Here is a 26304-nt window from a genome sequence, read left to right on the forward strand (position 1 = left end):
TAACCCTAACCCTAACCCTAACCCTAACCCTAACCCTAACCCTAACCCTAACCCTAACCCTAACCCTAACCCTAACCCTAACCCTAACCCTAACCCTAACCCTAACCCAACCCTAACCCTAACCCTAACCCTAACCCTAACCCTAACCCCTAACCCTAACCCTAACCCTAACCCTAACCTAACCCTAACCCTAACCCTAACCCTAACCCTAACCCTAACCCTAACCCTAACCCCTAACCCTAACCCTAAACCCTAAACCCTAACCCTAACCCTAACCCTAACCCTAACCCCAACCCCAACCCCAACCCCAACCCCAACCCCAACCCTAACCCCTAACCCTAACCCTAACCCTACCCTAACCCTAACCCTAACCCTAACCCTAACCCTAACCCCTAACCCCTAACCCTAACCCTAACCCTAACCCTAACCCTAACCCTAACCCCTAACCCTAACCCTAACCCTAACCCTCGCGGTACCCTCAGCCGGCCCGCCCGCCCGGGTCTGACCTGAGGAGAACTGTGCTCCGCCTTCAGAGTACCACCGAAATCTGTGCAGAGGACAACGCAGCTCCGCCCTCGCGGTGCTCTCCGGGTCTGTGCTGAGGAGAACGCAACTCCGCCGTTGCAAAGGCGCGCCGCGCCGGCGCAGGCGCAGAGAGGCGCGCCGCGCCGGCGCAGGCGCAGAGAGGCGCGCCGCGCCGGCGCAGGCGCAGAGAGGCGCGCCGCGCCGGCGCAGGCGCAGAGAGGCGCGCCGCGCCGGCGCAGGCGCAGAGAGGCGCGCCGCGCCGGCGCAGGCGCAGACACATGCTAGCGCGTCGGGGTGGAGGCGTGGCGCAGGCGCAGAGAGGCGCGCCGCGCCGGCGCAGGCGCAGAGACACATGCTACCGCGTCCAGGGGTGGAGGCGTGGCGCAGGCGCAGAGAGGCGCACCGCGCCGGCGCAGGCGCAGAGACACATGCTAGCGCGTCCAGGGGTGGAGGCGTGGCGCAGGCGCAGAGACGCAAGCCTACGGGCGGGGGTTGGGGGGGCGTGTGTTGCAGGAGCAAAGTCGCACGGCGCCGGGCTGGGGCGGGGGGAGGGTGGCGCCGTGCACGCGCAGAAACTCACGTCACGGTGGCGCGGCGCAGAGACGGGTAGAACCTCAGTAATCCGAAAAGCCGGGATCGACCGCCCCTTGCTTGCAGCCGGGCACTACAGGACCCGCTTGCTCACGGTGCTGTGCCAGGGCGCCCCCTGCTGGCGACTAGGGCAACTGCAGGGCTCTCTTGCTTAGAGTGGTGGCCAGCGCCCCCTGCTGGCGCCGGGGCACTGCAGGGCCCTCTTGCTTACTGTATAGTGGTGGCACGCCGCCTGCTGGCAGCTAGGGACATTGCAGGGTCCTCTTGCTCAAGGTGTAGTGGCAGCACGCCCACCTGCTGGCAGCTGGGGACACTGCCGGGCCCTCTTGCTCCAACAGTACTGGCGGATTATAGGGAAACACCCGGAGCATATGCTGTTTGGTCTCAGTAGACTCCTAAATATGGGATTCCTGGGTTTAAAAGTAAAAAATAAATATGTTTAATTTGTGAACTGATTACCATCAGAATTGTACTGTTCTGTATCCCACCAGCAATGTCTAGGAATGCCTGTTTCTCCACAAAGTGTTTACTTTTGGATTTTTGCCAGTCTAACAGGTGAAGCCCTGGAGATTCTTATTAGTGATTTGGGCTGGGGCCTGGCCATGTGTATTTTTTTAAATTTCCACTGATGATTTTGCTGCATGGCCGGTGTTGAGAATGACTGCGCAAATTTGCCGGATTTCCTTTGCTGTTCCTGCATGTAGTTTAAACGAGATTGCCAGCACCGGGTATCATTCACCATTTTTCTTTTCGTTAACTTGCCGTCAGCCTTTTCTTTGACCTCTTCTTTCTGTTCATGTGTATTTGCTGTCTCTTAGCCCAGACTTCCCGTGTCCTTTCCACCGGGCCTTTGAGAGGTCACAGGGTCTTGATGCTGTGGTCTTCATCTGCAGGTGTCTGACTTCCAGCAACTGCTGGCCTGTGCCAGGGTGCAAGCTGAGCACTGGAGTGGAGTTTTCCTGTGGAGAGGAGCCATGCCTAGAGTGGGATGGGCCATTGTTCATCTTCTGGCCCCTGTTGTCTGCATGTAACTTAATACCACAACCAGGCATAGGGGAAAGATTGGAGGAAAGATGAGTGAGAGCATCAACTTCTCTCACAACCTAGGCCAGTAAGTAGTGCTTGTGCTCATCTCCTTGGCTGTGATACGTGGCCGGCCCTCGCTCCAGCAGCTGGACCCCTACCTGCCGTCTGCTGCCATCGGAGCCCAAAGCCGGGCTGTGACTGCTCAGACCAGCCGGCTGGAGGGAGGGGCTCAGCAGGTCTGGCTTTGGCCCTGGGAGAGCAGGTGGAAGATCAGGCAGGCCATCGCTGCCACAGAACCCAGTGGATTGGCCTAGGTGGGATCTCTGAGCTCAACAAGCCCTCTCTGGGTGGTAGGTGCAGAGACGGGAGGGGCAGAGCCGCAGGCACAGCCAAGAGGGCTGAAGAAATGGTAGAACGGAGCAGCTGGTGATGTGTGGGCCCACCGGCCCCAGGCTCCTGTCTCCCCCCAGGTGTGTGGTGATGCCAGGCATGCCCTTCCCCAGCATCAGGTCTCCAGAGCTGCAGAAGACGACGGCCGACTTGGATCACACTCTTGTGAGTGTCCCCAGTGTTGCAGAGGTGAGAGGAGAGTAGACAGTGAGTGGGAGTGGCGTCGCCCCTAGGGCTCTACGGGGCCGGCGTCTCCTGTCTCCTGGAGAGGCTTCGATGCCCCTCCACACCCTCTTGATCTTCCCTGTGATGTCATCTGGAGCCCTGCTGCTTGCGGTGGCCTATAAAGCCTCCTAGTCTGGCTCCAAGGCCTGGCAGAGTCTTTCCCAGGGAAAGCTACAAGCAGCAAACAGTCTGCATGGGTCATCCCCTTCACTCCCAGCTCAGAGCCCAGGCCAGGGGCCCCCAAGAAAGGCTCTGGTGGAGAACCTGTGCATGAAGGCTGTCAACCAGTCCATAGGCAAGCCTGGCTGCCTCCAGCTGGGTCGACAGACAGGGGCTGGAGAAGGGGAGAAGAGGAAAGTGAGGTTGCCTGCCCTGTCTCCTACCTGAGGCTGAGGAAGGAGAAGGGGATGCACTGTTGGGGAGGCAGCTGTAACTCAAAGCCTTAGCCTCTGTTCCCACGAAGGCAGGGCCATCAGGCACCAAAGGGATTCTGCCAGCATAGTGCTCCTGGACCAGTGATACACCCGGCACCCTGTCCTGGACACGCTGTTGGCCTGGATCTGAGCCCTGGTGGAGGTCAAAGCCACCTTTGGTTCTGCCATTGCTGCTGTGTGGAAGTTCACTCCTGCCTTTTCCTTTCCCTAGAGCCTCCACCACCCCGAGATCACATTTCTCACTGCCTTTTGTCTGCCCAGTTTCACCAGAAGTAGGCCTCTTCCTGACAGGCAGCTGCACCACTGCCTGGCGCTGTGCCCTTCCTTTGCTCTGCCCGCTGGAGACGGTGTTTGTCATGGGCCTGGTCTGCAGGGATCCTGCTACAAAGGTGAAACCCAGGAGAGTGTGGAGTCCAGAGTGTTGCCAGGACCCAGGCACAGGCATTAGTGCCCGTTGGAGAAAACAGGGGAATCCCGAAGAAATGGTGGGTCCTGGCCATCCGTGAGATCTTCCCAGGGCAGCTCCCCTCTGTGGAATCCAATCTGTCTTCCATCCTGCGTGGCCGAGGGCCAGGCTTCTCACTGGGCCTCTGCAGGAGGCTGCCATTTGTCCTGCCCACCTTCTTAGAAGCGAGACGGAGCAGACCCATCTGCTACTGCCCTTTCTATAATAACTAAAGTTAGCTGCCCTGGACTATTCACCCCCTAGTCTCAATTTAAGAAGATCCCCATGGCCACAGGGCCCCTGCCTGGGGGCTTGTCACCTCCCCCACCTTCTTCCTGAGTCATTCCTGCAGCCTTGCTCCCTAACCTGCCCCACAGCCTTGCCTGGATTTCTATCTCCCTGGCTTGGTGCCAGTTCCTCCAAGTCGATGGCACCTCCCTCCCTCTCAACCACTTGAGCAAACTCCAAGACATCTTCTACCCCAACACCAGCAATTGTGCCAAGGGCCATTAGGCTCTCAGCATGACTATTTTTAGAGACCCCGTGTCTGTCACTGAAACCTTTTTTGTGGGAGACTATTCCTCCCATCTGCAACAGCTGCCCCTGCTGACTGCCCTTCTCTCCTCCCTCTCATCCCAGAGAAACAGGTCAGCTGGGAGCTTCTGCCCCCACTGCCTAGGGACCAACAGGGGCAGGAGGCAGTCACTGACCCCGAGACGTTTGCATCCTGCACAGCTAGAGATCCTTTATTAAAAGCACACTGTTGGTTTCTGCTCAGTTCTTTATTGATTGGTGTGCCGTTTTCTCTGGAAGCCTCTTAAGAACACAGTGGCGCAGGCTGGGTGGAGCCGTCCCCCCATGGAGCACAGGCAGACAGAAGTCCCCGCCCCAGCTGTGTGGCCTCAAGCCAGCCTTCCGCTCCTTGAAGCTGGTCTCCACACAGTGCTGGTTCCGTCACCCCCTCCCAAGGAAGTAGGTCTGAGCAGCTTGTCCTGGCTGTGTCCATGTCAGAGCAACGGCCCAAGTCTGGGTCTGGGGGGGAAGGTGTCATGGAGCCCCCTACGATTCCCAGTCGTCCTCGTCCTCCTCTGCCTGTGGCTGCTGCGGTGGCGGCAGAGGAGGGATGGAGTCTGACACGCGGGCAAAGGCTCCTCCGGGCCCCTCACCAGCCCCAGGTCCTTTCCCAGAGATGCCTGGAGGGAAAAGGCTGAGTGAGGGTGGTTGGTGGGAAACCCTGGTTCCCCCAGCCCCCGGAGACTTAAATACAGGAAGAAAAAGGCAGGACAGAATTACAAGGTGCTGGCCCAGGGCGGGCAGCGGCCCTGCCTCCTACCCTTGCGCCTCATGACCAGCTTGTTGAAGAGATCCGACATCAAGTGCCCACCTTGGCTCGTGGCTCTCACTGCAACGGGAAAGCCACAGACTGGGGTGAAGAGTTCAGTCACATGCGACCGGTGACTCCCTGTCCCCACCCCCATGACACTCCCCAGCCCTCCAAGGCCACTGTGTTTCCCAGTTAGCTCAGAGCCTCAGTCGATCCCTGACCCAGCACCGGGCACTGATGAGACAGCGGCTGTTTGAGGAGCCACCTCCCAGCCACCTCGGGGCCAGGGCCAGGGTGTGCAGCACCACTGTACAATGGGGAAACTGGCCCAGAGAGGTGAGGCAGCTTGCCTGGGGTCACAGAGCAAGGCAAAAGCAGCGCTGGGTACAAGCTCAAAACCATAGTGCCCAGGGCACTGCCGCTGCAGGCGCAGGCATCGCATCACACCAGTGTCTGCGTTCACAGCAGGCATCATCAGTAGCCTCCAGAGGCCTCAGGTCCAGTCTCTAAAAATATCTCAGGAGGCTGCAGTGGCTGACCATTGCCTTGGACCGCTCTTGGCAGTCGAAGAAGATTCTCCTGTCAGTTTGAGCTGGGTGAGCTTAGAGAGGAAAGCTCCACTATGGCTCCCAAACCAGGAAGGAGCCATAGCCCAGGCAGGAGGGCTGAGGACCTCTGGTGGCGGCCCAGGGCTTCCAGCATGTGCCCTAGGGGAAGCAGGGGCCAGCTGGCAAGAGCAGGGGGTGGGCAGAAAGCACCCGGTGGACTCAGGGCTGGAGGGGAGGAGGCGATCTTGCCCAAGGCCCTCCGACTGCAAGCTCCAGGGCCCGCTCACCTTGCTCCTGCTCCTTCTGCTGCTGCTTCTCCAGCTTTCGCTCCTTCATGCTGCGCAGCTTGGCCTTGCCGATGCCCCCAGCTTGGCGGATGGACTCTAGCAGAGTGGCCAGCCACCGGAGGGGTCAACCACTTCCCTGGGAGCTCCCTGGACTGGAGCCGGGAGGTGGGGAACAGGGCAAGGAGGAAAGGCTGCTCAGGCAGGGCTGGGGAAGCTTACTGTGTCCAAGAGCCTGCTGGGAGGGAAGTCACCTCCCCTCAAACGAGGAGCCCTGCGCTGGGGAGGCCGGACCTTTGGAGACTGTGTGTGGGGGCCTGGGCACTGACTTCTGCAACCACCTGAGCGCGGGCATCCTGTGTGCAGATACTCCCTGCTTCCTCTCTAGCCCCCACCCTGCAGAGCTGGACCCCTGAGCTAGCCATGCTCTGACAGTCTCAGTTGCACACACGAGCCAGCAGAGGGGTTTTGTGCCACTTCTGGATGCTAGGGTTACACTGGGAGACACAGCAGTGAAGCTGAAATGAAAAATGTGTTGCTGTAGTTTGTTATTAGACCCCTTCTTTCCATTGGTTTAATTAGGAATGGGGAACCCAGAGCCTCACTTGTTCAGGCTCCCTCTGCCCTAGAAGTGAGAAGTCCAGAGCTCTACAGTTTGAAAACCACTATTTTATGAACCAAGTAGAACAAGATATTTGAAATGGAAACTATTCAAAAAATTGAGAATTTCTGACCACTTAACAAACCCACAGAAAATCCACCCGAGTGCACTGAGCACGCCAGAAATCAGGTGGCCTCAAAGAGCTGCTCCCACCTGAAGGAGACGCGCTGCTGCTGCTGTCGTCCTGCCTGGCGCCTTGGCCTACAGGGGCCGCGGTTGAGGGTGGGAGTGGGGGTGCACTGGCCAGCACCTCAGGAGCTGGGGGTGGTGGTGGGGGCGGTGGGGGTGGTGTTAGTACCCCATCTTGTAGGTCTGAAACACAAAGTGTGGGGTGTCTAGGGAAGAAGGTGTGTGACCAGGGAGGTCCCCGGCCCAGCTCCCATCCCAGAACCCAGCTCACCTACCTTGAGAGGCTCGGCTACCTCAGTGTGGAAGGTGGGCAGTTCTGGAATGGTGCCAGGGGCAGAGGGGGCAATGCCGGGGCCCAGGTCGGCAATGTACATGAGGTCGTTGGCAATGCCGGGCAGGTCAGGCAGGTAGGATGGAACATCAATCTCAGGCACCTGGCCCAGGTCTGGCACATAGAAGTAGTTCTCTGGGACCTGCAAGATTAGGCAGGGACATGTGAGAGGTGACAGGGACCTGCAGGGGCAGCCAACAAGACCTTGTGTGCACCTCCCATGGGTGGAATAAGGGGCCCAACAGCCTTGACTGGAGAGGAGCTCTGGCAAGGCCCTGGGCCACTGCACCTGTCTCCACCTCTGTCCCACCCCTCCCACCTGCTGTTCCAGCTGCTCTCTCTTGCTGATGGACAAGGGGGCATCAAACAGCTTCTCCTCTGTCTCTGCCCCCAGCATCACATGGGTCTTTGTTACAGCACCAGCCAGGGGGTCCAGGAAGACATACTTCTTCTACCTACAGAGGCGACATGGGGGTCAGGCAAGCTGACACCCGCTGTCCTGAGCCCATGTTCCTCTCCCACATCATCAGGGGCACAGCGTGCACTGTGGGGTCCCAGGCCTCCCGAGCCGAGCCACCCGTCACCCCCTGGCTCCTGGCCTATGTGCTGTACCTGTGTCTGATGCCCTGGGTCCCCACTAAGCCAGGCCGGGCCTCCCGCCCACACCCCTCGGCCCTGCCCTCTGGCCATACAGGTTCTCGGTGGTGTTGAAGAGCAGCAAGGAGCTGACAGAGCTGATGTTGCTGGGAAGACCCCCAAGTCCCTCTTCTGCATCGTCCTCGGGCTCCGGCTTGGTGCTCACGCACACAGGAAAGTCCTTCAGCTTCTCCTGAGAGGGCCAGGATGGCCAAGGGATGGTGAATATTTGGTGCTGGGCCTAATCAGCTGCCATCCCATCCCAGTCAGCCTCCTCTGGGGGACAGAACCCTATGGTGGCCCCGGCTCCTCCCCAGTATCCAGTCCTCCTGGTGTGTGACAGGCTATATGCGCGGCCAGCAGACCTGCAGGGCCCGCTCGTCCAGGGGGCGGTGCTTGCTCTGGATCCTGTGGCGGGGGCGTCTCTGCAGGCCAGGGTCCTGGGCGCCCGTGAAGATGGAGCCATATTCCTGCAGGCGCCCTGGAGCAGGGTACTTGGCACTGGAGAACACCTGTGGACACAGGGACAAGTCTGAGGGGGCCCCAAGAGGCTCAGAGGGCTAGGATTGCTTGGCAGGAGAGGGTGGAGTTGGAAGCCTGGGCGAGAAGAAAGCTCAAGGTACAGGTGGGCAGCAGGGCAGAGACTGGGCAGCCTCAGAGGCACGGGGAAATGGAGGGACTGCCCAGTAGCCTCAGGACACAGGGGTATGGGGACTACCTTGATGGCCTTCTTGCTGCCCTTGATCTTCTCAATCTTGGCCTGGGCCAAGGAGACCTTCTCTCCAATGGCCTGCACCTGGCTCCGGCTCTGCTCTACCTGCTGGGAGATCCTGCCATGGAGAAGATCACAGAGGCTGGGCTGCTCCCCACCCTCTGCACACCTCCTGCTTCTAACAGCAGAGCTGCCAGGCCAGGCCCTCAGGCAAGGGCTCTGAAGTCAGGGTCACCTACTTGCCAGGGCCGATCTTGGTGCCATCCAGGGGGCCTCTACAAGGATAATCTGACCTGCAGGGTCGAGGAGTTGACGGTGCTGAGTTCCCTGCACTCTCAGTAGGGACAGGCCCTATGCTGCCACCTGTACATGCTATCTGAAGGACAGCCTCCAGGGCACACAGAGGATGGTATTTACACATGCACACATGGCTACTGATGGGGCAAGCACTTCACAACCCCTCATGATCACGTGCAGCAGACAATGTGGCCTCTGCAGAGGGGGAACGGAGACCGGAGGCTGAGACTGGCAAGGCTGGACCTGAGTGTCGTCACCTAAATTCAGACGGGGAACTGCCCCTGCACATACTGAACGGCTCACTGAGCAAACCCCGAGTCCCGACCACCGCCTCAGTGTGGTCTAGCTCCTCACCTGCTTCCATCCTCCCTGGTGCGGGGTGGGCCCAGTGATATCAGCTGCCTGCTGTTCCCCAGATGTGCCAAGTGCATTCTTGTGTGCTTGCATCTCATGGAACGCCATTTCCCCAGACATCCCTGTGGCTGGCTCCTGATGCCCGAGGCCCAAGTGTCTGATGCTTTAAGGCACATCACCCCACTCATGCTTTTCCATGTTCTTTGGCCGCAGCAAGGCCGCTCTCACTGCAAAGTTAACTCTGATGCGTGTGTAACACAACATCCTCCTCCCAGTCGCCCCTGTAGCTCCCCTACCTCCAAGAGCCCAGCCCTTGCCCACAGGGCCACACTCCACGTGCAGAGCAGCCTCAGCACTCACCGGGCACGAGCGAGCCTGTGTGGTGCGCAGGGATGAGAAGGCAGAGGCGCGACTGGGGTTCATGAGGAAGGGCAGGAGGAGGGTGTGGGATGGTGGAGGGGTTTGAGAAGGCAGAGGCGCGACTGGGGTTCATGAGGAAAGGGAGGGGGAGGATGTGGGATGGTGGAGGGGCTGCAGACTCTGGGCTAGGGAAAGCTGGGATGTCTCTAAAGGTTGGAATGAATGGCCTAGAATCCGACCCAATAAGCCAAAGCCACTTCCACCAACGTTAGAAGGCCTTGGCCCCCAGAGAGCCAATTTCACAATCCAGAAGTCCCCGTGCCCTAAAGGGTCTGCCCTGATTACTCCTGGCTCCTTGTGTGCAGGGGGCTCAGGCATGGCAGGGCTGGGAGTACCAGCAGGCACTCAAGCGGCTTAAGTGTTCCATGACAGACTGGTATGAAGGTGGCCACAATTCAGAAAGAAAAAAGAAGAGCACCATCTCCTTCCAGTGAGGAAGCGGGACCACCACCCAGCGTGTGCTCCATCTTTTCTGGCTGGGGAGAGGCCTTCATCTGCTGTAAAGGGTCCTCCAGCACAAGCTGTCTTAATTGACCCTAGTTCCCAGGGCAGCCTCGTTCTGCCTTGGGTGCTGACACGACCTTCGGTAGGTGCATAAGCTCTGCATTCGAGGTCCACAGGGGCAGTGGGAGGGAACTGAGACTGGGGAGGGACAAAGGCTGCTCTGTCCTGGTGCTCCCACAAAGGAGAAGGGCTGATCACTCAAAGTTGCGAACACCAAGCTCAACAATGAGCCCTGGAAAATTTCTGGAATGGATTATTAAACAGAGAGTCTGTAAGCACTTAGAAAAGGCCGCGGTGAGTCCCAGGGGCCAGCACTGCTCGAAATGTACAGCATTTCTCTTTGTAACAGGATTATTAGCCTGCTGTGCCCGGGGAAAACATGCAGCACAGTGCATCTCGAGTCAGCAGGATTTTGACGGCTTCTAACAAAATCTTGTAGACAAGATGGAGCTATGGGGGTTGGAGGAGAGAACATATAGGAAAAATCAGAGCCAAATGAACCACAGCCCCAAAGGGCACAGTTGAACAATGGACTGATTCCAGCCTTGCACGGAGGGATCTGGCAGAGTCCATCCAGTTCATTCAACACCTGGTTAGAAAACTGGGGCCAGCACACAGGGGAAGGGTAAGCTGGTTTCATGATCGAATCAAGGCTCAGACAATTTTTAAAGGCCAGAGGGTAGACTGCAATCACCAAGATGAAATTTACAAGGAACAAATGTGAAGCCCAACATTTAGGTTTTAAAAATCAAGCGTATAAATACAGAAGGTGGAGGGAACTTGCTTTAGACACAGTTCAGGTGAAGAAAGACCTGGAAACTTCTGTTAACTATAAGCTCAGTAGGGGCTAAAAGCATGTTAATCGGCATAAAAAGGCAATGAGATCTTAGGGCACACAGCTCCCCGCCCCTCTTCTGCCCTTCATCCTTCTTTCAATCAGCAGGGACCGTGCACTCTCTTGGAGCCACCACAGAAAACAGAGGTGCATCCAGCACCACAGAAAACAGAGCCACCACAGAAAACAGAGGGTGACTGTCATCCCCTCCAGTCTCTGCACACTCCCAGCTGCAGCAGAGCAGGAGGAGAGAGCACAGCCTGCAATGCTAATTTGCCAGGAGCTCACCTGCCTGCGTCACTGGGCACAGACGCCAGTGAGGCCAGAGGCCGGGCTGTGCTGGGGCCTGAGCCGGGTGGTGGGGAGAGAGTCTCTCCCCTGCCCCTGTCTCTTCCGTGCAGGAGGAGCATGTTTAAGGGGACGGGTTCAAAGCTGGTCACATCCCCACCGAAAAAGCCCATGGACAACGAAAAGCCCACTAGCTTGTCCAGTGCCACAGGAGGGGCAAGTGGAGGAGGAGAGGTGGCGGTGCTCCCCACTCCACTGCCAGTCGTCACTGGCTCTCCCTTCCCTTCATCCTCGTTCCCTATCTGTCACCATTTCCTGTCGTCGTTTCCTCTGAATGTCTCACCCTGCCCTCCCTGCTTGCAAGTCCCCTGTCTGTAGCCTCACCCCTGTCGTATCCTGACTACAATAACAGCTTCTGGGTGTCCCTGGCATCCACTCTCTCTCCCTTCTTGTCCCTTCCGTGACGGATGCCTGAGGAACCTTCCCCAAACTCTTCTGTCCCATCCCTGCCCTGCTCAAAATCCAATCACAGCTCCCTAACACGCCTGAATCAACTTGAAGTCCTGTCTTGAGTAATCCGTGGGCCCTAACTCACTCATCCCAACTCTTCACTCACTGCCCTGCCCCACACCCTGCCAGGGAGCCTCCCGTGGCACCGTGGGGACACAAAGGAACCAGGGCAAAGCTCCCTCAGCCCCATTCAAAGAGGCCTGGCCCACAGGCTCACGGAAAGTCAGCCTCTCATGCCCCGAGAGCTGAGTGCAAGGGAGAGGCAGCGCTGTCTGTGCTTCCCATGCAGAAGCACCCCCCTCCCACCCCTGTGCAGGCCGGCCTTCGCGGCAGACCACCATACACCACGTTCCAAGCCACACTGAGGCCTCCCTCCAAGCCTGCAGCCCCCATTTCCAGACCCTGCCAGGGCAACCTGCATATCCACCTCCCTACCCTGCCCCCCTCTTCCAGGAGTCTGCCCTATGTGGAGTAAGCACGTGGTTTTCCTCTTCAGCAACTATTTCCTTTTTACTCAAGCAATGGCCCCATTTCCCTTGGGGAATCCATCTCTCTCGCAGGCTTAGTCCCAGAGCTTCAGGTGGGGCTGCCCACAGAGCTCCTCAGTCTAAGCCAAGTGGTGTGTCATAGTCCCCTGGCCCCATTAATGGATTCTGGGATAGACATGAGGACCAAGCCAGGTGGGATGAGTGAGTGTGGCTTCTGGAGGAAGTGGGGACACAGGACAGCATTCTTTCCTGCTGGACCTGACCCTGTGTCATGTCACCTTGCTACCACGAGAGCATGGCCTGTCTGGGAATGCAGCCAGACCCAAAGAAGCAAACTGACATGGAAGGAAAGCAAAACCAGGCCCTGAGGACATCATTTTAGCCCTTACTCCGAAGGCTGCTCTACTGATTGGTTAATTTTTGCTTAGCTTGGTCTGGGGAGTTCTGACAGGCGTGCCACCAATTCTTACCGATTTCTCTCCACTCTAGACCCTGAGAAGCCCACGCGGTTCATGCTAGCAATTAACAATCAATCTCGCCCTATGTGTTCCCATTCCAGCCTCTAGGACACAGTGGCAGCCACATAATTGGTATCTCTTAAGGTCCAGCACGAGGTGGAGCACATGGTGGAGAGACAGATGCAGTGACCTGGAACCCAGGAGTGAGGGAGCCAGGACTCAGGCCCAAGGCTCCTGAGAGGCATCTGGCCCTCCCTGCGCTGTGCCAGCAGCTTGGAGAACCCACACTCAATGAACGCAGCACTCCACTACCCAGGAAATGCCTTCCTGCCCTCTCCTCATCCCATCCCTGGGCAGGGGACATGCAACTGTCTACAAGGTGCCAAGTACCAGGACAGGAAAGGAAAGACGCCAAAAATCCAGCGCTGCCCTCAGAGAAGGGCAACCACGCAGTCCCCATCTTGGCAAGGAAACACAATTTCCGAGGGAATGGTTTTGGCCTCCATTCTAAGTGCTGGACATGGGGTGGCCATAATCTGGAGCTGATGGCTCTTAAAGACCTGCATCCTCTTCCCTAGGTGTCCCTCGGGCACATTTAGCACAAAGATAAGCACAAAAGGTGCATCCAGCACTTTGTTACTATTGGTGGCAGGTTTATGAATGGCAACCAAAGGCAGTGTACGGGTCAAGATTATCAACAGGGAAGAGATAGCATTTCCTGAAGGCTTCCTAGGTGCCAGGCACTGTTCCATTCCTTTGCATGTTTTGATTAATTTAATATTTAAAATAATTCTACCAGGAAGCTACCATTATTACCACAACTTCACAAATGAGAACACCGAGGCTTAGAGGGGTTGGGTTGCCCAAGGTTACAGAGGAAGAAAACAGGGGAGCTGGATCTGAGCCAAGGCATCAACTCCAAGGTAACCCCTCAGTCACTTCACTGTGTGTCCCCTGGTTACTGGGACATTCTTGACAAACTCGGGGCAAGCCGGTGAGTCAGTGGGGGAGGACTTTCAGGAAGAGGTGGGTTCCCAGTTGGTGACAGAAGAGGAGGCTGCAAAGTGAAGGAGCAGGGGCTCCAGGTCTGGCGACAACCAGGGAAGGGACAGGGCAGGGATGGCTTGGACCACGAGAGGCACCTGAGTCAGGCAGTCACATACTTCCCACTGGGGTCTACCATGTGAGGCATGGTGTGGGATCCTGGGAAGGAGACCAAGCCTCATTTCAGTTTGCTTATGGCCAAAGACAGGACCTGTGTACCCGACAACCCCTGGGACCTTTACCAAAAAAAGAGCAAACACCATTCACTCACTCATGTTAGATAAACACTGAGTGAAGTCACTGGAGCCCAAGGACTGTGCGAGGTCAGCACTGCCAATACAAGAAGCTGCAGCCCTCCAGCTCGCCTCCCTCAATGGCCACTCCGTGCTCCAGCCATGCTGGCTTCCTTTTAGGTCCTCCACCTCCAGGCTGTAGTTCATGTGCTTCTTTCTGGAATGTTCTTCCCAACCTACCCACTCAACCCTCAGACTTTACCATAAATGTCATTTCCTCACGTCTGCCTTCCCTGACCTGAGACCAAGCCAGGCTTCCCATGACGAGCCTCACAGTACCCCATCTCCCCTGAACAGATGCAGTAATAACCTACATAACCCGGGGCCATGATCTATGGCTTTGAATCCTGGCTCTGTCACTAGGCCAGGTCTCTCAGCCCTTCTGTGCCTCAGTTTCCTCATCTATAAAATGAGATGACGGCAGTGCCTGCTCATGAAGTGTGAGTTAATGCACTCAAATCAATGGTTGTGCACGGTTTATATGAATATTAGTGATTACAAAATATTATCAATAGACCTTGTCACAACTGTTATTGAAGAACTAATCATCTATTGCTTATTTAGGTCTTTCTCTCCTGCCAGAATGTGCGCTCCAGGTGGAGAGGTATGTTGCCTTATCCGTGGCTGGATATATAGAGATTCCCACACTGCCTTGCACACGAGCACTGCTGGGTAAATATTTGTTGGCTGCAGGAAAACGTGAAGGAATAGGCCCTCCAATGGGAGGAAAAGCATGAGTTGTGAGAGCAGAGCCACCACAGGAAACCAGGAGGCTAAGTGGGGTGGAAGGGAGTGAGCTCTCGGACTCCCAGGAGTAAAAGCTTCCAAGTTGGGCTCTCACTTCAGCCCCTCCCACACAGGGAAGCCAGATGGGTTCCCCAGGACCGGGATTCCCCAAGGGGGCTGCTCCCAGAGGGTGTGTTGCTGGGATTGCCCAGGACAGGGATGGCCCTCTCATCAGGTGGGGGTGAGTGGCAGCACCCACCTGCTGAAGATGTCTCCAGAGACCTTCTGCAGGTACTGCAGGGCATCCGCCATCTGCTGGACGGCCTCCTCTCGCCGCAGGTCTGGCTGGATGAAGGGCACGGCATAGGTCTGACCTGCCAGGGAGTGCTGCATCCTCACAGGAGTCATGGTGCCTGTGGGTCGGAGCCGGAGCGTCAGAGCCACCCACGACCACCGGCACGCCCCCACCACAGGGCAGCGTGGTGTTGAGACAACACAGCCCTCATCCCAACTATGCACATAGCTTCAGCCTGCACAGATAGGGGAGTAGGGGACAGAGCATTTGCTGAGAGGCCAGGAGCGCATAGATGGGACTCTGCTGATGCCTGCTGAGTGAATGAGGGAAAGGGCAGGGCCCGGGACTGGGGAATCTGTAGGGTCAATGGAGGAGTTCAGAGAAGGTGCAACATTTCTGACCCCCTACAAGGTGCTTGCTACCTGCCAGGCACCCTTTCCATACCTTGTCTCAGTTCAGCTCCCCACCTTGGATAAACAAGAAACCTTGGTTGCAGAGGAAAAAAGAGGCTGGAAACAAAGGGGTAGAAATGGGGTAGCAGGGGAGATTGCCTGATCAACTGCCAAATGGTACACAGTTCTGGAAAAGCACAAAAAATGTGCACACACGGGTTCTTCCCACTTTAACCCCTGAGGAATCTGAGGCCTGCTCCTGAAACAGACTGGGCAGTGGCTAGTGACTCTAGGTATAGGAGTATCCAGCCCTGCTCACCCAGGCTAGAGCTTAGGGGGACAAGAGGAAAGAGGTGCCTGTGGGGGTGGAGGACAGGAAGGAAAAACACTCCTGGAATTGCAAAGTGAGGGCAGAGTCTATTTATATTGGGTTTAATTAACTCCTCTCCCTGGTGCCACTAAAGCAGCAATCACACTGCAGACAGCACTGATTTGATTGGCAAGAGATGCACCAGGCAGAATATTAAGGGACCAGGCCCCTATAAATAGGCCTAATCACAGCCCCTCACTGGAAAATGGTAAGGAAGACATTAATCAGGCCTGGCACTGTGCCCTAGACCTGCTCCCCTAGGCACTACAGTGGGGCCCTTGGTTGCAACACAAGTAGGTAGGGATGGATGAGTGTGGCATGAAGGGCCTAGGAGATTTCACTTGGGTTTAAAATGCTGTGACCTTGAGTAAGTTGCCGTCTCTGAATCTGATCCTTTCGATTTCCCATTCTCCAAACTGAGAACTAGCACTGCTGAGACGTGGTTATTTCCAATAATAATTTGTATATTTTACATAACGCACCACACCAACATCTTCACCCAGTTGGAGCCTACTCCTTTGCTCCCGCTGCTGGCTTCCCCAGCCCTCCCTTCTGCCCTCCTCAGGCCAGCACTTTTCAGTGAGTTCCTCCTTTGCATACAGGCTTTCCAGATCTGTACTTGCCTTGAATACTCATCAGAGCCCAGGAGTTACTCCTCACCTCCCACTTATTTTTCCTCCCATCAAATAACTAAAGCATGGCCAGCTGATGCCCAGCCAACTGAGAAACCCAACCCTCTGAGACCAGCACACCCCTTTCAAGCATGTTCCTCCCTCCCCTTCTTTGTATTTATACTGATGCAAGTTTGCTGGCTGTCCTAACTTATTTCTGTGCCTCAGTTCTCCCATATGTAAGATCACAAAGGGGGTAAAGATGCAAGATATTTCCTGTGCACATCTTCAGATGAATTTCTTGTTAGTGTGTGTGTGTTTGCTCACACATATGCGTGAAAGAAGAGTACATACACAGATCTCCTCAAAAAGGAGGCAGCAAGCCCGTTCAAGAATGGGACTGAATACACCTGATGAGTGGTTTACTTTCTGTCTGCAAACATCTACTGATCATCTGTTAGGTGCAGGCCATGATCACAACAAAGACGAATAAGACACTACACTAGCCAGGGAGAGTCTCAAAAACAACTAAACTCAAATTAAATTCATTCTACTCCAGTCATGGGTACAAAGCTAAGGAGTGACAAATCCCTCTTGGAGTTAGGGGAGTCAGGAAAAAGCTCTTAGCAGAATGTGTGCCTCTCGGCCGGGCGCAGCGGCTCACGCCTGTAATCCCAGCACTTTGGGAGGCGAAGGCAGGCAGATCACCTGAGGTCGGGAGTTCGAGACCAGTCTGACCAACATGGTGAAACTCCATCTCTACTAAAAATACAAAATTAGCCAGGCGTGGTGGTGCATGCCTGTAATCCCCGCTACTCGGGAGGCTGAGGAAGGAGAATCACTTGAACCAGGAAGGTGGAGGTTGCAGTGTGCCAAGATCGCGCCATGGCACTCCAGCCTAGGCAACGAGGGTGAACCAGGTCCAGGAAGAAGGTGCAAAGACAGCATTCCAGGTAAAAGAAACAGCTTGAACAAAAAGTGTGTAGGGGAACCGCAAGCGGTCTTGAGTGCTGAGGGTACAATCATCCTTGGGGAAGTACTAGAAGAAAGAATGATAAACAGAGGCCAGTTTGTTAAAAACACTCAAAATTAAAGCTAGGAGTTTGGACTTGTGGCAGGAATGAAATCCTTAGACCTGTGCTGTCCAATATGGTAGCCACCAGGCACATGCAGCCACTGAGCACTTGAAATGTGGATAGTCTGAATTGAGATGTGCCATAAGTGTAAAATATGCACCAAATTTCAAAGGCTAGAAAAAAAGAATGTAAAATATCTTATTATTTTATATTGATTACGTGCTAAAATAACCATATTTGGGATATACTGGATTTTAAAAATATATCACTAATTTCATCTGTTTCTTTTTACTTTTAGAAATCACATATGTGACTTAAATATTTCTTTTCTTTTTCTTTCCTCTCACTCAGCGTCCTGTGATTCCAAAGAAATGAGTCTCTGCTGTTTTTGGGCAGCAGATATCCTAGAATGGACTCTGACCTAAGCATCAAAATTAATCATCATAACGTTATCATTTTATGGCCCCTTCTTCCTATATCTGGTAGCTTTTAAATGATGACCATGTAGATAATCTTTATTGTCCCTCTTTCAGCAGACGGTATTTTCTTATGCTACAGTATGACTGCTAATAATACCTACACATGTTAGAACCATTCTGACTCCTCAAGAATCTCATTTAACTCTTATTATCAGTGAATTTATCATCATCCCCTATTTTACATAAGGAAATGGGGTTAGAAAGACCAAATAACATTTTTTCAACATCAAAACACTAGCTTGAGATCAAGCCCAGACTTGGATCTGTCGTCTGAATTCCAAGCTTTTTGTTATTTATTGATATGTTTTGTTGTTTTCATGCAATAATGCAAATCTTAGCCCAAACATTTTGTTAGTAGTACCAACTGTAAGTCACCTTATCTTCATACTTTGTCTTTATGTAAACCTAAATTAGATCTGTTTTTGATACTGAGGGAAAAACAAGGGAATCTAACACTAACCAGCCCGTAGTGTGTGGTCAACACTTTCGTTACTTTAGTATACATCACCCCAATTGTTTGTCTTCACCACACACTTTGGAGTTAGGTAGTAGTATCTATTTTTACAAATAAGAAAACCCAGGCACAAAGGGGTTGATTAGCAATTATCTTTTGAAAAGCCTGTAGTTGCTCATCTGAAGAAGTGACGGACCACCTCTTATTTAGTGGACAGACAGTAACTAGTTGAGAAGACAGGGGATTTTGTTGGCGGAAAAAAAAATTTATCAAAAGTCGTCTTCTATCAGGGAGTTTTATGAGAAACCCTAGCTCCTCAGTTCCACAGTGGGTAACTGTAATTCATTCTAGGTCTGCGATATTTCCTGCCTATCCATTTTGTTAACTCTTCAATGCATTCCACAAATACCTAAGTATTCTTTAATAATGGTGGTTTTTTTTTTTTTTTGCATCTATGAAGTTTTTTCAAATTCTTTTTAAGTGACAAAACTTGTACATGTGTATCGCTCAATATTTCTAGTCGACAGCACTGCTTTCGAGAATGTAAACCGTGCACTCCCAGGAAAATGCAGACACAGCACGCCTCTTTGGGACCGCGGTTTATACTTTCGAAGTGCTCGGAGCCCTTCCTCCAGACCGTTCTCCCACACCCCGCTCCAGGGTCTCTCCCGGAGTTACAAGCCTCGCTGTAGGCCCCGGGAACCCAACGCGGTGTCAGAGAAGTGGGGTCCCCTACGAGGGACCAGGAGCTCCGGGCGGGCAGCAGCTGCGGAAGAGCCGCGCGAGGCTTCCCAGAACCCGGCAGGGGCGGGAAGACGCAGGAGTGGGGAGGCGGAACCGGGACCCCGCAGAGCCCGGGTCCCTGCGCCCCACAAGCCTTGGCTTCCCTGCTAGGGCCGGGCAAGGCCGGGTGCAGGGCGCGGCTCCAGGGAGGAAGCTCCGGGGCGAGCCCAAGACGCCTCCCGGGCGGTCGGGGCCCAGCGGCGGCGTTCGCAGTGGAGCCGGGCACCGGGCAGCGGCCGCGGAACACCAGCTTGGCGCAGGCTTCTCGGTCAGGAACGGTCCCGGGCCTCCCGCCCGCCTCCCTCCAGCCCCTCCGGGTCCCCTACTTCGCCCCGCCAGGCCCCCACGACCCTACTTCCCGCGGCCCCGGACGCCTCCTCACCTGCGAGCCGCCCTCCCGGAAGCTCCCGCCGCCGCTTCCGCTCTGCCGGAGCCGCTGGGTCCTAGCCCCGCCGCCCCCAGTCCGCCCGCGCCTCCGGGTCCTAACGCCGCCGCTCGCCCTCCACTGCGCCCTCCCCGAGCGCGGCTCCAGGACCCCGTCGACCCGGAGCGCTGTCCTGTCGGGCCGAGTCGCGGGCCTGGGCACGGAACTCACGCTCACTCCGAGCTCCCGACGTGCACACGGCTCCCATGCGTTGTCTTCCGAGCGTCAGGCCGCCCCTACCCGTGCTTTCTGCTCTGCAGACCCTCTTCCTAGACCTCCGTCCTTTGTCCCATCGCTGCCTTCCCCTCAAGCTCAGGGCCAAGCTGTCCGCCAACCTCGGCTCCTCCGGGCAGCCCTCGCCCGGGGTGCGCCCCGGGGCAGGACCCCCAGCCCACGCCCAGGGCCCGCCCCTGCCCTCCAGCCCTACGCCTTGACCCGCTTTCCTGCGTCTCTCAGCCTACCTGACCTTGTCTTTACCTCTGTGGGCAGCTCCCTTGTGATCTGCTTAGTTCCCACCCCCCTTTAAGAATTCAATAGAGAAGCCAGACGCAAAACTACAGATATCGTATGAGTCCAGTTTTGTGAAGTGCCTAGAATAGTCAAAATTCACAGAGACAGAAGCAGTGGTCGCCAGGAATGGGGAAGCAAGGCGGAGTTGGGCAGCTCGTGTTCAATGGGTAGAGTTTCAGGCTGGGGTGATGGAAGGGTGCTGGAAATGAGTGGTAGTGATGGCGGCACAACAGTGTGAATCTACTTAATCCCACTGAACTGTATGCTGAAAAATGGTTTAGACGGTGAATTTTAGGTTATGTATGTTTTACCACAATTTTTAAAAAGCTAGTGAAAAGCTGGTAAAAAGAAAGAAAAGAGGCTTTTTTAAAAAGTTAAATATATAAAAAGAGCATCATCAGTCCAAAGTCCAGCAGTTGTCCCTCCTGGAATCCGTTGGCTTGCCTCCGGCATTTTTGGCCCTTGCCTTTTAGGGTTGCCAGATTAAAAGACAGGATGCCCAGCTAGTTTGAATTTTAGATAAACAACGAATAATTTCGTAGCATAAATATGTCCCAAGCTTAGTTTGGGACATACTTATGCTAAAAAACATTATTGGTTGTTTATCTGAGATTCAGAATTAAGCATTTTATATTTTATTTGCTGCCTCTGGCCACCCTACTCTCTTCCTAACACTCTCTCCCTCTCCCAGTTTTGTCCGCCTTCCCTGCCTCCTCTTCTGGGGGAGTTAGATCGAGTTGTAACAAGAACATGCCACTGTCTCGCTGGCTGCAGCGTGTGGTCCCCTTACCAGAGGTAAAGAAGAGATGGATCTCCACTCATGTTGTAGACAGAATGTTTATGTCCTCTCCAAATGCTTATGTTGAAACCCTAACCCCTAATGTGATGGTATGTGGAGATGGGCCTTTGGTAGGTAATTACGGTTAGATGAGGTCATGGGGTGGGGCCCTCATTATAGATCTGGTAAGAAAAGAGAGCATTGTCTCTGTGTCTCCCTCTCTCTCTCTCTCTCTCTCTCTCATTTCTCTCTATCTCATTTCTCTCTCTCTCGCTATCTCATTTTTCTCTCTCTCTCTTTCTCTCCTCTGTCTTTTCCCACCAAGTGAGGATGCGAAGAGAAGGTGGCTGTCTGCAAACCAGGAAGAGAGCCCTCACCGGGAACCCGTCCAGCTGCCACCTTGAACTTGGACTTCCAAGCCTCCAGAACTGTGAGGGATAAATGTATGATTTTAAAGTCGCCCAGTGTGTGGTATTTTGTTTTGACTAATACAACCTGAAAACATTTTCCCCTCACTCCACCTGAGCAATATCTGAGTGGCTTAAGGTACTCAGGACACAACAAAGGAGAAATGTCCCATGCACAAGGTGCACCCATGCCTGGGTAAAGCAGCCTGGCACAGAGGGAAGCACACAGGCTCAGGGATCTGCTATTCATTCTTTGTGTGACCCTGGGCAAGCCATGAATGGAGCTTCAGTCACCCCATTTGTAATGGGATTTAATTGTGCTTGCCCTGCCTCCTTTTGAGGGCTGTAGAGAAAAGATGTCAAAGTATTTTGTAATCTGGCTGGGCGTGGTGGCTCATGCCTGTAATCCTAGCACTTTGGTAGGCTGACGCGAGAGGACTGCTTGAGCCCAAGAGTTTGAGATCAGCCTGGGCAATATTGTGAGATTCCATCTCTACAAAAATAAAATAAAATAGCCAGTCATGGTGTCACACACCTGTAGTCCCAGCTACATGGGAGGCTGAGGCGGGAGGATCACTTGAGCTTGGGAGATCGAGGCTGCAGTGAGCTATGATTGTACCACTGCACTCCAGGCTGGGCGACAGAGAGAGACCCTGTCTCAGAAAAAAAAAAAAAAGTACTTTGTAATCTGTAAGGTTTATTTCAACACACACAAAAAAAGTGTATATGCTCCACGATGCCTGTGAATATACACACACACCACATCATATACCAAGCCTGGCTGTGTCTTCTCACAAATGCACTGCTAGGCACCACCCCCAGTTCTAGAATCACACCAGCCAGTTCACCCTCCAGATGGTTCACCCTCAACTTCATAAAAGTTCCCTACCTAATCTACTGACAGGCTCATCCCCGACCTAATTTTAAAGATTTCCTAGGAGCTGCAGTGGGAATCCTGGACCTCAGCCTGGACAAAGAACAGCTGCAGGTCATTCTCATGTGTGGACACAGAAGCTCTGCCTGCCTTTGCTGGCCAGCTGGGCTGAGCGGGCCTGGGAATTAAGGCTGCAGGGTTGGTCCCAGGCAGTCTTGCTGAAGCTTGCCACATCCCCCAGCCTCCTGGATTTGCCAGGATCCAAGAGCATGGACTTTAGGAATTCCTGGTGGAGGAGTGAAGAAAATGTGACAGGGTGTCCTAAGCCCCGATCTACAGGAAGAAAACTGGAAATAAGACTGAGGACTTAGTTTAAGATGTTCCTACTCAGCCTCTAGCTTTTGTGCTACAGTTCTGGGAACAGACTCCTCTCTCCTGAAAACCACTTCCCTCCGCAGCATTAGATTTCACCAAGATGTCTTGCTTGTGGGAAAGACTTCCAAGGATGCCTGGAGAGAGGAGGATGGAAATGTCCTGCTCTCTAAACAGATAGACAGATGCAGCCAGACAGAAAATAGTTTATCTTGCTGAGGTTTCTAATGTATTTGAAAGAGGCCTGGGTCTAGAAGTCTACCCAGAGGGCTCTGTGTTGTGCACGCAAAGATAAGAACCTTCCCTGTGGGAGTTCCAGAGCCAGTTTTCATAAACACCCATCGGTGACTGTGTTCAGAGTGAGTTCACACCATCCTGACCTGCCCTGAGTTAGACCTTACATGGTCTTCCTCCTCTAGGAAGCCTCTGCAGCCCAGGAACCTCCCCTTATCGGAAATGAACAGCATTTGAAGCTTCACCAGACAGACCAGACAGCTTAGCCCTCGTGTTGTGCCATGTGGGTTGTTCTCTGAGAGGCAGGAGAGCATAGTGGTTACTAGGAAGGGAAGGACTTTGGGACTAGACTGCCTCGGCTGGAGTCCTCTTTCTGCTTCATAGCCACGTGATCCTAGGCATGTTACCTGTGCCTCAGTTTTCACTCTGTCAATATGTAATAACTGAATCTGTCTTTGTGGTGAGGATTCAGTGAGTTAACATATTTGAAGTGCTTAAAAATGAGGCTTGTGTCCATAGATTAATGAGTGAATACACAAATGGTGATATGGACATACAGTGGAGTATTAGTCATAAAAAGGAAGGCAGAGCTGATCCATGGCACCATGTGACAGAACCTCAAAAGCATTAGGTTAAGTGGAAGAAGCCAGACACAGGTCACCTATTGTGTAATTCCATTTATAGGAAATATACAGAATATGTAAATCCGTGGAGAAAGAAAGCCGATTTCCAGGGGCTAAGGGGAGGGGAGAATGGGAAGTGGCTGCTTCATGGGTACAAGGTTTCATTTTGAGCTGATGAAAATGTTTTGGAACTACATAGAGATAGTGTTGGCACAACATGGTGAATGTACTGAATGCCACTGATTGTTCAATTTAAAATGGTCAAACTTATATGAATTTCACCTCCATTAAAAAAAAAAAAAAAGGACCAGATGTGGTTGCTCACACCCATAATCCCAACACTTTGGAAAAAGGTGAAAGTTTTTTTTTCTTTTTTTTTTTATATACTTAAGTTCTAGGGTACATGTGCATAATGTGCAGGTTGGATACATAGATATGCGTGTGCCATGTTGGTTTGCTGCACCCATCAACTTGTCATTTACATTAGGTATTTCTTCTAATGCTATCCCTCCCCCAGCCCCCCACCCACTGACAGGCCCCAGTGTATGATGTTCTCTGCCCCATGTCCAAGCGTTCTCATTGTTCAATTCCCACCTGTGAGTGAGAACATGCAGTGTTTGGTTTTCTGTCTTTGTGATAGTTTGCTCAGAATGATGGTTTCCAGCTTCATCCATGTCCCTGCAAAGGACATGAACTCATCCTTTTTAATGGCTGCATAGTATCCCATGGTATATATGTGCCACATTCTCTTAATCCAGTCTGTCATTGATGGACATTTGGGTTGGTTCAAAGTCTTTGCTATTGTGAATACTGCCACAATAAACATACATGTGCATGTGTCTTTATAGTAGCACGATTTATAATCCTTTGGGTATATACCCTAAGACCTGGGACGCATTTAAAGCAGTGTGTAAAGAGACATTTATAGCACTAAATGCCCACAAGAGACCTCTGCCTGAGAACGTGGGTTTCAGCCTAAGAGTTGTAATATGTGTGCCCATTCACAGGTGCTGCATCAGAGTCCCAGGTGGGAAGAAGGCAAGCATACACAAAAATGGTAAAAGGCAGAAAGGAGCCCAGTCTCGTTCTTTTTAAGAAGTTTTCCTAAGAATCTCCACCCAGCGACTTGCTCTCACATCTTCTTGGCCAGCACTGGACCACACAACTCCTTCTAGATACAGAGGAGTCCTAGGATTCTATGAGAAAGAAGGGGAGGGTGGGCAAAGGGCAGCCAGCTGTGCAGCATCTGCTGGAGACACCTAACCCTTGGTGGAGGGGTTGTGGTGCTGGGAGAAGGCTTTCTGGACGGTGTGACAGCAGAGATAAACTTAAAGGCCAAGTAGGAGTTACCCTGGTGAAGCAGGGCAGGGTTACAAGCATTCCAGCAACATGAAGCAGCAGGAGTGTTTTAATTAAAAGAAGGCAGTTGCTGTAACCAACTATAAACAAATAAAGGCTTAAACACAATGGAAGTTTATTTCTCACTAAGGGAACATCCAAATCCATGATACTTTAAGTCAGGGACCCAGGTTCCTCCCATCTATGGTTCTGCCATCACTAATCTGGGTCTTCCACAATTGCCGTGCTCCTTGGAGGTGGGAAGAGCAGGCGGAGGACACGTGGGAGGTTTTAGGGACAAGCCTGGAGGCAGCATGCGTCACTCCCATGCAGAGTCCATTGGCCAATGCTGGCTCCGATGGCCACATCTCACTGCAGGGGCAGCTGGGAAATACAGTCTGGCTGTCTACCCAGGAGGAAGAGCAGCCAGTTTCTGCTGCTGATGATCAGGAGGTGGAGAAAATGTTCAGTCAGGCAGGGAGTGGGAATAGACAAGACCACAAGCAGCTTGGTGCCTCTGAAAGGGAGAGGGGTGGAGGGGAGACTAGAGAGGTGGGTAGGAATACTGGATTCCACTGACCACGTGCTGGATGTCACGCTTAGCCCTCCTGCTCTGTGCCGGGTTAGGCACCTGGTGTTTTACGTACATAATCTCAATTCTGTGAGGGCATCCGACCTGTGGGAAAAGAGCTGTTTGTTTCAAATGCCAGTCCTGCTTCCTAACAAGTGTTTAGAGCTTAATCGTGTTCAAAATACATATACAATGTTTAATACTTACAAGAATTTGGTGGGGAAAATATTACCATCTTTCCCTTTTGTGATTGGAGAAAAATGAGGCTTTGAAGGGTTTAAGAACTTGCCCAAGGTCGGCCAGGTGCAGTGGCTCATGTCTATAATCCCAACACTTTGGGAGGCTGAGGTGGGAGGATCGCTTGAGGCCAGGAGTTCAAGACCAGCCTGAGCAACATAGTGAGACTTTGTCTCTATAAAAAATAAATAAATAAATAAAAACAACTTGTCCAAGGTCAGACAGGCAGCCTCTTAGTAAGCACACATATCCTCTATATTATACTACCTCTCATGGAGGATCTCCTGTGTTCTACAAATAGTCTGGACTTGAGCCAGAATGTGTTATAATCCTGGGATCACGGCCAGTGGGCTTAGAAGAAGCCATCTCTTTCTCATGCCAAGATGAGGCTCCCCCAGATTTGCTCAGACTTACCTATAGTCAGCAGCATCGGGGGTCAGGAAAGACTTCACGAAGCCATAAATGCATCCTTCTCGGGGCAGCACCTGGCTCTCCCAGGTGAGAGAGGACTCCATTTTCACAGGCAGGCGTGGGAGCTTCAGCACCCATCTCTGGGCCCAGAATGACCCACTGGAGACCTTACAGCTCTCCTGTCACCCCCAATTCCTGCCCCCTCTGCAGCCTTGGAGGAGAATGGAGCTGAAGGGCCTGCCCTCTGTAGGGTGAGAAAGGGAGGCTAAAGCCTGGTGCCCACTGCCCTGGCTGCTCCGCATTGCAGGAGCTGCGCCCTTCCTTTCCTGGCACAGGGTCCACAGCCCCGAAACCCCGTTGTGTGGGAGCTGGGCACAGGGCAGCAGGACTAATCCTTGGAACAGCTCAGGGAGGATTATCCCAGCCACTGTCAGCAGCGGTGCAGCTGGCTCATTCCCATATAGGGGGAGGCCAGAGCCAGGGGCCTGCCACAAGTTGGAAGGCTGGGGAAGGGGAGGCCAGCAGAGGTGTCCTGGCTGTGGGTGGCTCTGAGGGGGCTCTCAGGGGTGGGGCTAAATCTCAGGGGC

The 26304-nt window shown here is 53.5% G+C and overlaps 2 long non-coding RNA genes, 2 other non-coding genes and 2 pseudogenes across 6 annotated transcripts, besides 1 other annotated feature; 3 read left to right on the forward strand and 3 right to left on the reverse strand.

Moving 5' to 3' along the window:
- The first annotated feature begins 1873 nt into the window (after nucleotides 1–1873).
- DDX11L1 (DEAD/H-box helicase 11 like 1 (pseudogene)) lies at nucleotides 1874–4409 on the forward strand (annotated as a pseudogene). The gene is made up of 3 exons (NR_046018.2): nucleotides 1874–2227; nucleotides 2613–2721; nucleotides 3221–4409. The product of NR_046018.2 is annotated as a DEAD/H-box helicase 11 like 1 (pseudogene) (transcript).
- On the reverse strand, nucleotides 4362–19370 carry WASH7P (WASP family homolog 7, pseudogene; annotated as a pseudogene). Its single transcript, NR_024540.1, has 11 exons — nucleotides 19321–19370; nucleotides 14738–14891; nucleotides 8268–8366; nucleotides 7915–8061; nucleotides 7606–7742; nucleotides 7233–7368; nucleotides 6858–7055; nucleotides 6607–6765; nucleotides 5796–5947; nucleotides 4970–5038; nucleotides 4362–4829 (listed from the first exon to the last, which is right to left on the reverse strand). The product of NR_024540.1 is annotated as a WASP family homolog 7, pseudogene (transcript).
- MIR6859-1 (microRNA 6859-1) lies at nucleotides 7369–7436 on the reverse strand. Its single transcript, NR_106918.1, has one exon. It is a non-coding gene; the product is annotated as a microRNA 6859-1 (primary transcript).
- Nucleotides 10498–11346: an enhancer, noted in NCBI's record as "H3K4me1 hESC enhancer chr1:20498-21346 (GRCh37/hg19 assembly coordinates)". NCBI's record gives its function as "activates a minimal SCP1, AML or CMV promoter by ChIP-STARR-seq in primed H9 embryonic stem cells {active_cell/tissue: H9 hESC(primed)}" and the evidence as "EXISTENCE:reporter gene assay evidence [ECO:0000049][PMID:30033119]".
- A 403-nt stretch (nucleotides 19371–19773) lies between the features above and the next one.
- Nucleotides 19774–25418, forward strand: MIR1302-2HG (MIR1302-2 host gene). The gene is made up of 3 exons (XR_007065314.1): nucleotides 19774–20667; nucleotides 20976–21093; nucleotides 24168–25418. It is a non-coding gene; the product is annotated as an MIR1302-2 host gene (long non-coding RNA).
- On the forward strand, nucleotides 20366–20503 carry MIR1302-2 (microRNA 1302-2). Its single transcript, NR_036051.1, has one exon. It is a non-coding gene; the product is annotated as a microRNA 1302-2 (primary transcript).
- Nucleotides 24611–26081, reverse strand: FAM138A (family with sequence similarity 138 member A). The gene is made up of 3 exons (NR_026818.1): nucleotides 25721–26081; nucleotides 25277–25481; nucleotides 24611–25174 (listed from the first exon to the last, which is right to left on the reverse strand). It is a non-coding gene; the product is annotated as a family with sequence similarity 138 member A (long non-coding RNA).
- Nucleotides 26082–26304: the final 223 nt, after the last annotated feature.

This window comes from Homo sapiens, chromosome 1 (genome assembly GCF_000001405.40).
Source record: "Homo sapiens chromosome 1, GRCh38.p14 Primary Assembly".
In the NCBI taxonomy this organism is placed as follows: Eukaryota; Metazoa; Chordata; class Mammalia; order Primates; family Hominidae; genus Homo; species Homo sapiens.